At 49.0% G+C, this 12,171-nt stretch overlaps 1 protein-coding gene across 1 annotated transcript in view, besides 1 other annotated feature; it reads left to right on the forward strand.

Annotated features, from left to right (window-relative positions):
* The window catches only part of COX10 (cytochrome c oxidase assembly factor heme A:farnesyltransferase COX10), a 139,174-nt gene extending 133,422 nt beyond the window's left edge, over nt 1-5,752 (forward strand). The window contains exon 7 of the mRNA NM_001303.4: nt 3,885-5,752. Coding sequence (NP_001294.2) covers nt 3,885-4,288 — 404 coding nt within the window. The 3' untranslated portion in view covers nt 4,289-5,752. The remainder of the gene's footprint in view (nt 1-3,884) is intronic.
* Nucleotides 3,117-3,617: an enhancer, noted in NCBI's record as "H3K27ac hESC enhancer chr17:14109359-14109859 (GRCh37/hg19 assembly coordinates)". NCBI's record gives its function as "activates a minimal SCP1, AML or CMV promoter by ChIP-STARR-seq in primed H9 embryonic stem cells {active_cell/tissue: H9 hESC(primed)}" and the evidence as "EXISTENCE:reporter gene assay evidence [ECO:0000049][PMID:30033119]".

A 12,171-nucleotide genomic window follows, 5' to 3' on the forward strand; every position in this document is an offset into this window, starting at 1 on the left:
TCATGGCTTAAATGTCACCTATGGAAAGGCCTTCCCTGAGCACTCAGTCTCAAGTCACCCGCATTGCATTACCCTGTTTTGAGTCGTCTCAAAATAGGCATCAGCACTGTTACTTGTGTTTATGTCCATCTCCCTCTAGACTTTAAGCAGGACTTGATTGCCACTGCCTTTCTAGCACCCAGAATTGTGCCTACATGTGAGACACCTGTCATCTGTTTACCAGGTTAATGGATTCAATGAATAATAGCTGCTCATATTATCAGCATTAAAATTGAGTGTGTTTGCATGAGCTAAGATTTATACATATATAAATTTTATATATATATGTATAAAATTTAAAGTTAAAAATGAATTTGGGGGATTTGACAGTAACCCTACTGAAATAGGGACCCTAAAATCAGGTCTTTGTTATATTTCCTCCCATACTGGAAGACTGAAAAGGGGTTGACTGACTTATGGAAGCCACAGAAAACTATTCATGGATATAAAAGGAGGCCCTCATCCCTCTTAAACCATCTGTACCCACACAAATTCCGCTTGATAAGCTACAACTGCCCCGTCTGATAAACGTAACTCAGAAATGATTAAGTTTCTCCCCAGAACAATGTGCATTAAAAATCCTCCTCCTTTCTTTTAGATGACTTGCAAAGCCTGCCCCTAGTGTCACTCTGCACTCTGTGCTGTTGAGGAATACAGATCAGAGATTAAAGGAGGAGCTGGTTCCTTCTCATGCTCACTGTCATTTGCACAAACTGGGGCCCCTCAGTGGCTTATAGCCCCAGACTTATTTTCTGAAGTATTCTGCATTATGTAAAGTGCTCTGTCTCCTGGTGAGTTCTGCCTAGCAGTAGCCCCCAGCTCCCTTTTTCTGAACATTCCCACAGACCAGGGACTTAAAAGATCCTCATTACCTGAAATAGGACTGTGGTTACAAATTCTCAACCTCTTCTCTCCCTGGGCAGGATGGTGCTTTCCAGGGCAGATGACACAGAGGGTTGGTGAACTCTCAGTTCTCTGCCAGGGACCCCATGGAGAAGGTGGTTCCAGAGGAGGGGAAGGAGAAGATAGACAGAATCCTGTAGTTTGCCTGACTGGTTCCCAAGCCGGTGTTGGGAAACAGTGATCTTGGGGATAACTTAATTGGCTCCCTTGATGAGTTTGGGCGCACTTTACTACAATATCATTACATACTTTCTGTGTTCTAATGCCTGGAGATTCACGGGAAAGTGAACATACCCTAAGAAGTTCACCTCAGGTAGGAAATGCAGACACGTAAATGTCTGCCTGGACCCTGTGGCTTGCTCAGGAAAAGACGCTCACAGTTGCTTATCACAGACGACACCCACACTCTGGCTGCCACACCCTCTTAGTGACTTTCCCCTTGGATGTCCCAAAGGCATCTCAGACTGAACACACCCAAGGTCACACTAATGACCTCCTCTCCCCTTCTTCCCTGCTTGTCTCAGTAAGTGGCATCTGTATGGATCCATAAGCCCAGGATCCATAAGCCCAGGACTTGCTATTGATACCTCCTCCCTCTCTCCTCCCCTCCTTATTTACACTGCACGCACATCCTGTCCCTTTTGCCTCCCAAATTCCTTCCAAATTTATCTTCTTTGCAACTCTACTGTCACCATCCTGATCCTAAGTACTGTCATCCTTCATCCCCTCACTCCTTATCTCCTGATTGGTCCTTCCATACCTTCTTTAGGCCCCTCCAGTGTATCCTTCACAAATAGTATCACTTAGCACTGGTGCCCCTCCCCTCACCCCCTACACACATAGGTGCACACACTCACACAGAGGTACACATACACGCAGGCACACATGCTCAGCACTCTTATACGTTAAGATCCTCTGTGGCTTTCTGTTGCTTTTAGAATAGCAAAGTCAAGGCTGAGTGCAGTGGCTCATGCCTGTAATCTCTGTACTTTGAGAGGCTGAGGCAGGAGGATTGCTTGGGGCCAGGAGTTCAAGGCCAGCCTGGGCAACATGGTGAGACCCCATCTCTACAAAAAGTTGTTTTAAAAAGTTTTCTGAGTTTGGTGACGTGCACCTATAGTGCCAGCTATTCAGGAGGCTGAGGCAGGAGGATGACTTGAGCCCAAGAGATCGAGGCTGCAGTGAGCTGAGACTGTGCCACTGCACTCCAGCCAACCTTGTCCTGAGGAACTTTCCCTGTCATTCTCAGCACTCCAGCCAAACCACACCACCTTCCTTTTTTTTTAATCATGCAATAAAATTGACTTTTTAAATATATATAGTTCTGTGACTCCTAACACGTGTTAATCTTCTTTTTTACACCGCCCACACCTCAAACCTTCCAGCCCCAAGGCCTTTATGAATACTGTCCCCTCCACCAGCCCTGACTTGACAAAGTCACCACTCTCTCCAGCTCAGCTGAGACATCCCTTCCTCAGAGAAGCCACCTCTGGTCCCCTAGACTCAGTCAGCTCCTCTTATGTGTCTTCACTGCACCATGCACTTTTCCTCACTGCATTTGGAGTGGTGACTTTAGAGTCACTAGTGTGGCTCTTGATGTCTACCTCCTTGACTGAAGGGTCTGCTCGGTGCAGGCAGGAGCACGTGTGGATTGTTGCTCGCCATGGTATCCCCAGTGCCTAGCACGGTGCTTACCCCATAGTAGGCGCCCGGGGAGCATTTTTTGCGCGAGTACTCAGTCACCTGCACAGGAATAACCAGCCCCTGCCTTCCAGCCCCCACCCTACTGCCTGTCCTTAGGTGGCTTCGTGCATGTCATAGAAGGACCCTGGCCTGAAAATCAAGCAGCCTTGTTTTGAATTGCTCTTCCGTCTCTTTTTGGAGAACTTGGCATTGCCTAATTTTTTTTTTCACTGAAGTTTATAAATCTACCTCAAAATCCAATGGTCAAGATTAAATGGGGCAAACTATGAGAGTAGGGTCTGTCACATAATAGGAGCTCAGCGAGCAGCAGCCTTCATTCCACCCATGTGGGTGCTGGGGAGACTGTTCCAGAGAAAGGGGCAAAATGGTGCTCAGGGTGTTATGTCCTTGTTGAAAAATTACAAAGCCATAGACAAGTTATCATTGTACTCTGGGACCGTTTTGTCCTTGTGACTCATTTTATTTAACACATGTGGTTTTGACACCTCCCGCTTGTGCCATTGTGCCAGGCTCTGGGGGATGGTGAGAGGAATGTGGCAGGCTTGTGCCCTGGAAGCCCTGGTGAAAGAGGTAAACAGATCAGAGCCAGGGTGTGACGCACCCGCCTGCAGGTACATCCGGCTCTGTGTCAGTGCTGAGCCAGGAGCACTGACTGCCCTGGAAAGGGAGCCAGGGCTCACAGAACAGGCGGAGCGGACTTGCAGCGTCCTCCAGGTTACAGCACTGCTTCCACCTGCCTGAAGCCACACACCCGGGTCCCAGCGGGCGGAAATGGAGCTCAGCGCTCCAGCACAATGGTTGCACCCAGAGGTAGTACTGAAGTAGATACTGAATTCCCTACAAGTGTTTGCCCGTGTGTAGGGGCTTCTTTGCTCCCCACAATGTGGGGAGGTGTGAGGAGCATCAGGTGGGCAGGAGCCAGCGATGGTAAGCGTCCTGCAGCGCAGGCAGCCCCCCTGTGAAGCAGGGTCTGAGCCAGACCCCACAGCCTCCTGCCCCCAGGCACACTGGCACCCCCAGGTGAGAAAGGAGGGATCTTAGCTCATCGGCTGCCCCACCAGCCTGATGTAGGCACCTGTCTCCCAGCCACCCTGTGATGTAGGCAGGCAGCGATGAGAGCACAGGGTGGCAGAGCTTCTGAGGTGCCAGGCAGGCTCTCCCAGGAGAGGAAACCATTCTTTGGAAATCTCTGGTGATGACTGCCTTTGTCTCCCTCTCCTTCCCTGACCCCCGCACAGGCGCATTTCTCCTGGGAGGAATCCTCTACTCCTGGCAGTTTCCTCATTTCAACGCCCTGAGCTGGGGCCTCCGTGAAGACTACTCCCGGGGCGGCTACTGCATGATGTCGGTCACCCACCCGGGCCTGTGCCGGCGCGTGGCGCTGCGCCACTGCCTGGCCCTGCTCGTGCTGTCCGCAGCAGCCCCTGTGCTGGACATCACCACATGGACCTTCCCCATCATGGCCCTTCCCATCAATGCGTACATCTCCTACCTCGGCTTCCGCTTCTACGTGGACGCAGACCGCAGGAGCTCGCGGAGACTGTTCTTCTGCAGCCTGTGGCACCTGCCGCTGCTGCTGCTGCTCATGCTCACCTGCAAGCGGCCGAGCGGAGGCGGGGACGCAGGGCCCCCTCCCAGCTGAGAGCACTGGGACGCCCACCGCCCCTTTCCCTCCGCTGCCAGGCGAGCATGTTGTGGTAATTCTGGAACACAAGAAGAGAAATTGCTGGGTTTAGAACAAGATTATAAACGAATTCGGTGCTCAGTGATCACTTGACAGTTTTTTTTTTTTTTAAATATTACCCAAAATGCTCCCCAAATAAGAAATGCATCAGCTCAGTCAGTGAATACAAAAAAGGAATTATTTTTCCCTTTGAGGGTCTTTATACATCTCTCCTCCAACCCCACCCTCTATTCTGTTTCTTCCTCCTCACATGGGGGTACACATACACAGCTTCCTCTTTTGGTTCCATCCTTACCACCACACCACACGCACACTCCACATGCCCAGCAGAGTGGCACTTGGTGGCCAGAAAGTGTGAGCCTCATGATCTGCTGTCTGTAGTTCTGTGAGCTCAGGTCCCTCAAAGGCCTCGGAGCACCCCCTTCCTGGTGACTGAGCCAGGGCCTGCATTTTTGGTTTTCCCCACCCCACACATTCTCAACCATAGTCCTTCTAACAATACCAATAGCTAGGACCCGGCTGCTGTGCACTGGGACTGGGGATTCCACATGTTTGCCTTGGGAGTCTCAAGCTGGACTGCCAGCCCCTGTCCTCCCTTCACCCCCATTGCGTATGAGCATTTCAGAACTCCAAGGAGTCACAGGCATCTTTATAGTTCACGTTAACATATAGACACTGTTGGAAGCAGTTCCTTCTAAAAGGGTAGCCCTGGACTTAATACCAGCCGGATACCTCTGGCCCCCACCCCATTACTGTACCTCTGGAGTCACTACTGTGGGTCGCCACTCCTCTGCTACACAGCACGGCTTTTTCAAGGCTGTATTGAGAAGGGAAGTTAGGAAGAAGGGTGTGCTGGGCTAACCAGCCCACAGAGCTCACATTCCTGTCCCTTGGGTGAAAAATACATGTCCATCCTGATATCTCCTGAATTCAGAAATTAGCCTCCACATGTGCAATGGCTTTAAGAGCCAGAAGCAGGGTTCTGGGAATTTTGCAAGTTATCCTGTGGCCAGGTGTGGTCTCGGTTACCAAATACGGTTACCTGCAGCTTTTTAGTCCTTTGTGCTCCCACGGGTCTGCAGAGTCCCATCTGCCCAAAGGTCTTGAAGCTTGACAGGATGTTTTCATTACTCAGTCTCCCAGGGCACTGCTGGTCCGTAGGGATTCATTGGTCGGGGTGGGAGAGTTAAACAACATTTAAACAGAGTTCTCTCAAAAATGTCTAAAGGGATTGTAGGTAGATAACATCCAATCACTGTTTGCACTTATCTGAAATCTTCCCTCTTGGCTGCCCCCAGGTATTTACTGTGGAGAACATTGCATAGGAATGTCTGGAAAAAGCCTCTACAACTTGTTACAGCCTTCACATTTGTACAATTCATTGATTCTCTTTTCCTTCCACAATAAAATGGTATACAAGAACAGGAGTGTGTGTGACGTCATTGGAAGTAATCATCCTGTGCTGAGTTCGCACAGTTCTTGGTAGAACCGACACTTGATCACGCCTTCAAGAGCTGGCAGAGGGTGCGTGGGAGGTTGGTTTTGTTTCGTAAATTGACAAATTGTAGTTGTGTATATTTATGAGGTAATAAAGTGATGTTATGATTTATGAAGACAATTGAAATAATGAAATCAAGCTGATGAATGTATTCATTACCTCAGATACTTATTTTTGTGATAAGAACATTTTTAATGTACTCAGTAATTTTGAAATTAGAATACATTATTTCCTGCATTCACACAGTGTGTGATGTACGTCAAAGGGAGGAGACGTACTCATCATAACTGACTTTGTACCCTTTCACCATCTTGTACCCATTCCGTTCAACTCCCAGCCTCTCTAACCACCATTCTACTCTCTGCTTCAAGTCTGATTATTCTGGATTCCACATAGAAGTAAGAACATGCAGTATTTATCTTTCTGTGCCATATTAAGTTGAGAACTTTAACCTTTTCGCTTAAGAGCAGCACCTTCTGGCTTCTCTGACATCTCTGGATTGCCAGCATCACTATGTGAGGCCATGATTAAGCAAAATAAAGCTTACTGAGCACAAGCTCTGCAATGCCACCACAGTTGGATTTGATAACCGAGATGGCTGCTAAGTGACTCATGGGTGGGACAGTATTCAGCATGGATCTGCTGGACAAAGAGATAATTCAGGTCCCAAGCAGGTGACGCTAGATTGCATCACACTAAGTACGCCACACAATCTGAAACTTATGAAATGTTTATTTCTGTCATTTTCTATTTAGTATCTTTGGACCTTGGTTGACCATGGGTAACTGAAACAGTGGAAAGAGAAACCACAGATAAGGGAGAACTGCTGTACATATCTGCCAGCCTGGAGAAATGAGAGCAATATACCTGCTTCTTGTTTGTTGGAAACCCAAATGTAATTGACCTGCTGGACACATTACACTTTTTGGCATCTTTTGGCCACTATTTCCTAATTGTAAGATGTGAAGATACGCTCTGGATCAAAGAGGCTCTCATGTTCGCTTAATAATTCAGAGTCCATCACTCAGTGGCTGGACTCTGCCATGCACATCACAGAGCATCTGAGAGGCAAGGTATCCACCAGCGTGGGACAACTCTATGCTTGCATTCTGATCATGCCTCACTCCTCACACTTCAGCTTGTGTGATGCCACCAGTTTGAGCCCTCTGAAAATCCCATCTGACCACTGCTAACCTCCTCTACCACCACCAGGTTGGTTGAACCAAGCATCTATCCGAGACACATGCCTGCAAGACATGCCTGCAGTTTATTTTCCTCTTTGCCCCAGCCTTGTCTGTTTTTCTCATGGCAGCCAGCATGATCCCTCTAAGCTACCAGGCAGATCCTGCCATTCCCATTCTCCACCCTGTAGTTGCTTTCCTACCTGGTCCCATGCCATCTGGTCCTGCTCCCATCTCTGATCTTGGAAATACCTTCTTGCCACACCTACTACCCTGCCCACAGATCTCCACGCTTTTCTTCAATACTCAGGCACACCCGCTGTGGGGTATTCATATTAATACCTCCTGTTCCCTCTATGTGGGGTCCTCTCATTTCATTGAGAGGACACCTCCTTAGAGAGGGCTTTTTTGGCCACTTTATCAAATAGCTCCCCTGTCCCCACCTCCTTGCTGTGCTTTGCTTTTTTTTTTTTTTTTTTTTTTTTTTTTTTTTTTTTTTTTTTTTTGAGATGGAGTCTCGTTCTATTGCCCAGGCTGGAATGCAATGGTGCGATCTCGGCTCACTGCAACCTCCGCATCCCGGGTTCAAGCGATTCTCCTGCCTCAGCCTCCAGAGTAGCTGGGATTACAGGTACCATCACACCCGGGTAATTTTGTATTTTAGTAGAGATGGGGTTTCACCATGTTGGTCAGGCTGGTCTCCAACTCCTGACCTCAATTAACACTATTTCATGTTCTATGTCTATTTACATATCTCATTATTTAATGTCTGTCTTCCCTGCAGTATAAGTTCCATGAAGGCAAGGACTGTATCTTTGCATTGCTTTATCTCCAACTTCTAGAACAATGCTTAGCACAGAGTAGGCACTCAATAAATGCTTCTTCCTGAATAAATAAAAGAATAACCCCGTCTGGGTTATATGAGGTCCCTGTGGTCAGAGAGAAACGGCCTGTTAGCCTGGGATAAAGAATGAATGGATTTGGAAAGGTATTGATGACCTGTGGTTCCATGAGAAAAGATGGCTTCTGTATAGTCCTTATCTGGCTGGTGCAATCACTGTTCCCACTCCCGACTTCAGGACTCTGTCCCCAGGCTGCACTAACCAGAATGCACTCCACTGCCTCCAGGCCACCACCCCACTGCTTCTACTTGTTTCTGGAATTGCCTTTTCTAACTTCAAACTTCCACCCCCCCTCCACTGCCACTGTCATTCCTGACATATTCATTTCCCATAGCACCTATTAATATGTGACATACACATTTCACTTACTTGTTATTGACTACCGACTACCACCCCTGAACCGTAAACTCAGTAGGGCAGAAATGTCTGTTTCTCACTGCTGTCTCCACAGGCACCTACAACAGAAGACAATCCATAAATGACCATGTGATGGGTGCTCCATCAATGATGAAAGGAATGAATGAGTACCTTTTATGGCATGGTGGGAGGTGGAGGTGGCGGGAGCACTTGAAGGTGGAGGAGATTGGTACATGCCTGCCCCTTGTGACTGAATCTGGAACAGGTGCACGTTTCTGCCTGCTTCGTGAAGCAAACTGCCAAAGTCGAACCAAGGCAAGTGACTATTTCTTCCTAGTTTGACTCATCAATTCTCATCATTTTCTGTATCTTCAGGGGTACCTTGACTTAACTACTTGGTAACAGAGTTTTCAGCCCAGTAAATTAAGTTGGATTCTTGACCAATATTTTTACTTTTTAAATGCATTAGCAGAGAATCTAGTGTCTGTCTCCATCTTCATCCCTCATCATCTGCTGCGAAAGGCTTTGCTTTAACTCATTCCCACCAGATAGGAGCTCAGGCTTCACCTCCTGAGCACCAGCATCATGCATCCAGGCCACTGTAAATGAGGGAACCATTCCCGGTTTATAAATTGGGGACCTGCCTGTGAAGTAGAAGCCAAGACAATAAGGACTCCCAGTTGCAGAGACGGTCAAGAGGGCAGGTGGGCCCCATTCAGGGAACGAGGGTGCGGTTCCAGGGTCGTGGGAAAAGCCTGTCTTTCCTCACAAGCCGGCAGCCAGGGGGCGCTGCAGGCTGGGGCGCTGTGAAGCTGCTGTTGGCTGAGGGCTCCCCACTCAGCAAAGCGGGGCCAGAGCCGGGGATTCAGGAGAGAGCGGGGCGACGACCGCACAGCACACAGTGGGCGAGGCAAAGCAAAGTTCTTGGTTGAGTAACCGCACCCCACCCAACCCCAAACGTCCAAAGAGAGGCAAGGTGACCAAGGCAATCTGGAGAAGATAAGCCACACACACCAGACAAGCTCCCCGGCCCTCCCCAGCTTCAACAAACACGGAAAGCAAGGAGCCAAGAACCAAAACAGAGACCCACTGAGAGGAGAGCCACCTTCCGCCCAGCAGCCAGCTTTCCTGTGCCCACTGAGCACGAGATTATGTGTGAGGCCTCGTGTCGGGGAGCGAGATGCACCCGAATATTCCCAGCCCCCGGCAGCTCACTCCGGAGATTTCCTAGAGAGGCAATGCAGCCATGAGGTGGGAGTAGAAGGAGCCTTCCCCTCCCCACCACGCCCCGCCTCCAAACCCCGTTCCTAACCTAGAATCCTCCAACCTCGCCTGTGACACTCTCAGGACCCGCCACCTGACTCGGGGCTGCCTTTGTGCAGCCTGGCTGGGGGCTTCTCAACATCCGCTTCTCCATGATCCTGGCTCTTGTGTCCCTTGATCTGGCTCTCAGGGTCCTTCGTTCCGGGCTCCATCTCTGTCACAGGGCTGGTCTGGCCATAGGCCCTGACTCTATAAGGGGACTTGAGCCAAACCGAGCACTCAACCCAGCCCATGGCTCTTTTTTTTTTTTTTTTTAATGGGATAGTCTAGCCTCTACGCATCACCGCAGTTGTGTTTCTGTGTCTCAAAGGAAATAGTTCAGCATAGGCGATTGGTCATTAGGCCAAACACTACTAGGGAGTGTGGAGAGGAGAGAAGGCACTTCAAGCAGAGAGCAGGGTGAGCAAAGGCCCAGGGTGAAGGGGCATCGAGTGTTTGGGGAGCATTCGCAGTTCTGCATGGCTGGAGGGTAGGGGCCAGGAAGAGCTGGAGGATGACGTTGAAGACAGAAGCGGAGGGACCAGGTCTGGCCAACTTTATGTTTGCCCAACTAAGTCACCTGGATTTTACCCTAAGGGCAATAGGGAGCCATTGAAGAGTAAAGCTGGAAAGTAGCATGATCATGTTTGTGCTTTAGAAAGAAAATCCAGGCCACAGAGCAGAAGGTGGATGGGAAGAACTGGGAAGACCAGGGGAGCAATAATGGGTCTCAATCTGGGCAGATGAGGGAGAGGGAGAGCAGAGGAAACTCCACAGGGTTGATTGGGGTGAGAGAAGATCCTGGGATATTCCCGGGGTCCCAGTTTGAGGACAAGATGGTGCCTTCACTCGAGGGGAGTACCTCTTGCATTTCTCATGTCCCCTTTTCTCCCTTTGCCTGTGGTCACCAATATCTCAATTGCTGGTCTCAGCTCTAGTGGAAGACCCAGGCTGCCTCAGCCTGGCCCCTACCCCTTCACGCTCACATAATCCTGCCTCCCGCAGTAATGCAGACCCCTGGCCACCCAAGCCTCTGCCTGGAATCTCCCCACTGCCTGGCACGTGGGAAATAGCTTCCCTGGCCTGTCCCAGTTGCAGTCTCCTGCTGTGGTGTGGTGTGCTGAACACCAGTTCATTGAAGACTAGGTGCATTGCCTTTGCTCTAACAGAATTGCCCCACGGTTCCCCTCAGTCAACTGCGTCTGCCTGGAAGATGCTCAAAGCAGGAACTCCTCCAATTTTTCTCTCCATCCAAGTCTCCCCAACCTGAATAACCCACCAACCTATTCAGTCAGAGGGTCTGAATTCATTTGACAAAAAGGAAGAATGGGATTGCTTGCCTTAAAACTGACCCAAACTGTGGCTGATGTCCAGATCCCTCACACAGCCATTTGACACTTAGTCACCTCCAAAATAGAAATGATCTCCCCAGAACCAGACAAACAGAAAAAACTCTTCCCTACTAAGCCCGCTGTCTGTTTGTAGACAGCCATTCCCATAGCGCTGTTTCCTCATGAGCTGACCATTAACCAACCTTCCTGTATCCATCTGGACACATAATTGCAAGTGACAGGAATTCCAACTAAAACTGAATTGATCAAAATAAGGAATGTGTTGGTTCATGTGGTTGGAAGTTGAGAAGCACACTGGCTTCCGGCAAGACTTGATCCTGGCCACAGCTCTTGGTAAGCTCTCTCCCTTTAAGATACTGAGAACCCTTAAACAATTATTCATTCCTTTATTTCTCTATATTTAACTACCTTGGGCCAGATACTGTTTCAGGTACTGGGAATGCAGAAGTGAACAGAACAGTCAAACATCCCTGCCCTCATGCCTATAATATATCTCTAGAAAAAAAATGCAAAAAACCTAGTAACTCTGGTTGCCTCTGGGGTGAAGAACTGCCTGGCTGGGAGAAGCTTCTTCCTCAAACCTAGTAAGAAAGAGGAAGTCTTGGAATTGAGATGCAGGTCTTAATTGGTCTGATTCAGGGTTGGTGCCCATTTTTGATTCACCGAGCCTGGCTCAAGTCAATCAGTGGCTGCGTGCAGAAGGCAGTCTTCCCTTCCCATGACTAAAGGTTTGGGAAATGTGGTAGGAAGAGGGTGGAGGAAGGGGAAATTCCTTCCAGTTTGGTAATAGAGACTTTGGAGTCAGGAGCTCTAAGGAAATGGGCCCCAGGGTCTTGGAGAGGAGTGCCAGCCAAGGCTGGGCCCAGCTCCTCTGCAGACCCTCAGGCTCTCCCACCCACAGCCAAGAGGTGAGGCTGTCCTGAGCATTTTACACCTGTGGTCCCAGCTTATTGTAAAGAAAGACCACATTTATATACAGTCCCAGATTAATAGGTCAGCCTATTACAAGACCATTAACACTAAGACAACCCAGGACATTTTACTACCTTCTCTTTAAACCAAATCCACCCTACCCCCTGGGATTTCCCAAGCCAGCGCCATGTTCAGGGAAGACAGAGCCACAGTCAGGGCTAAGGCCAAATCCCATCAAGAGCACCTGAATCAGCACCTTTAAACTTCTGCAGCTTTCTTCTCGAAATAAAATGTTGCTTGGAAGCCACTTCCACTTTCTTAGGAATCCCTTCAGGAA

Source organism: Homo sapiens, chromosome 17, assembly GCF_000001405.40.
Source record: "Homo sapiens chromosome 17, GRCh38.p14 Primary Assembly".
In the NCBI taxonomy this organism is placed as follows: Eukaryota; Metazoa; Chordata; class Mammalia; order Primates; family Hominidae; genus Homo; species Homo sapiens.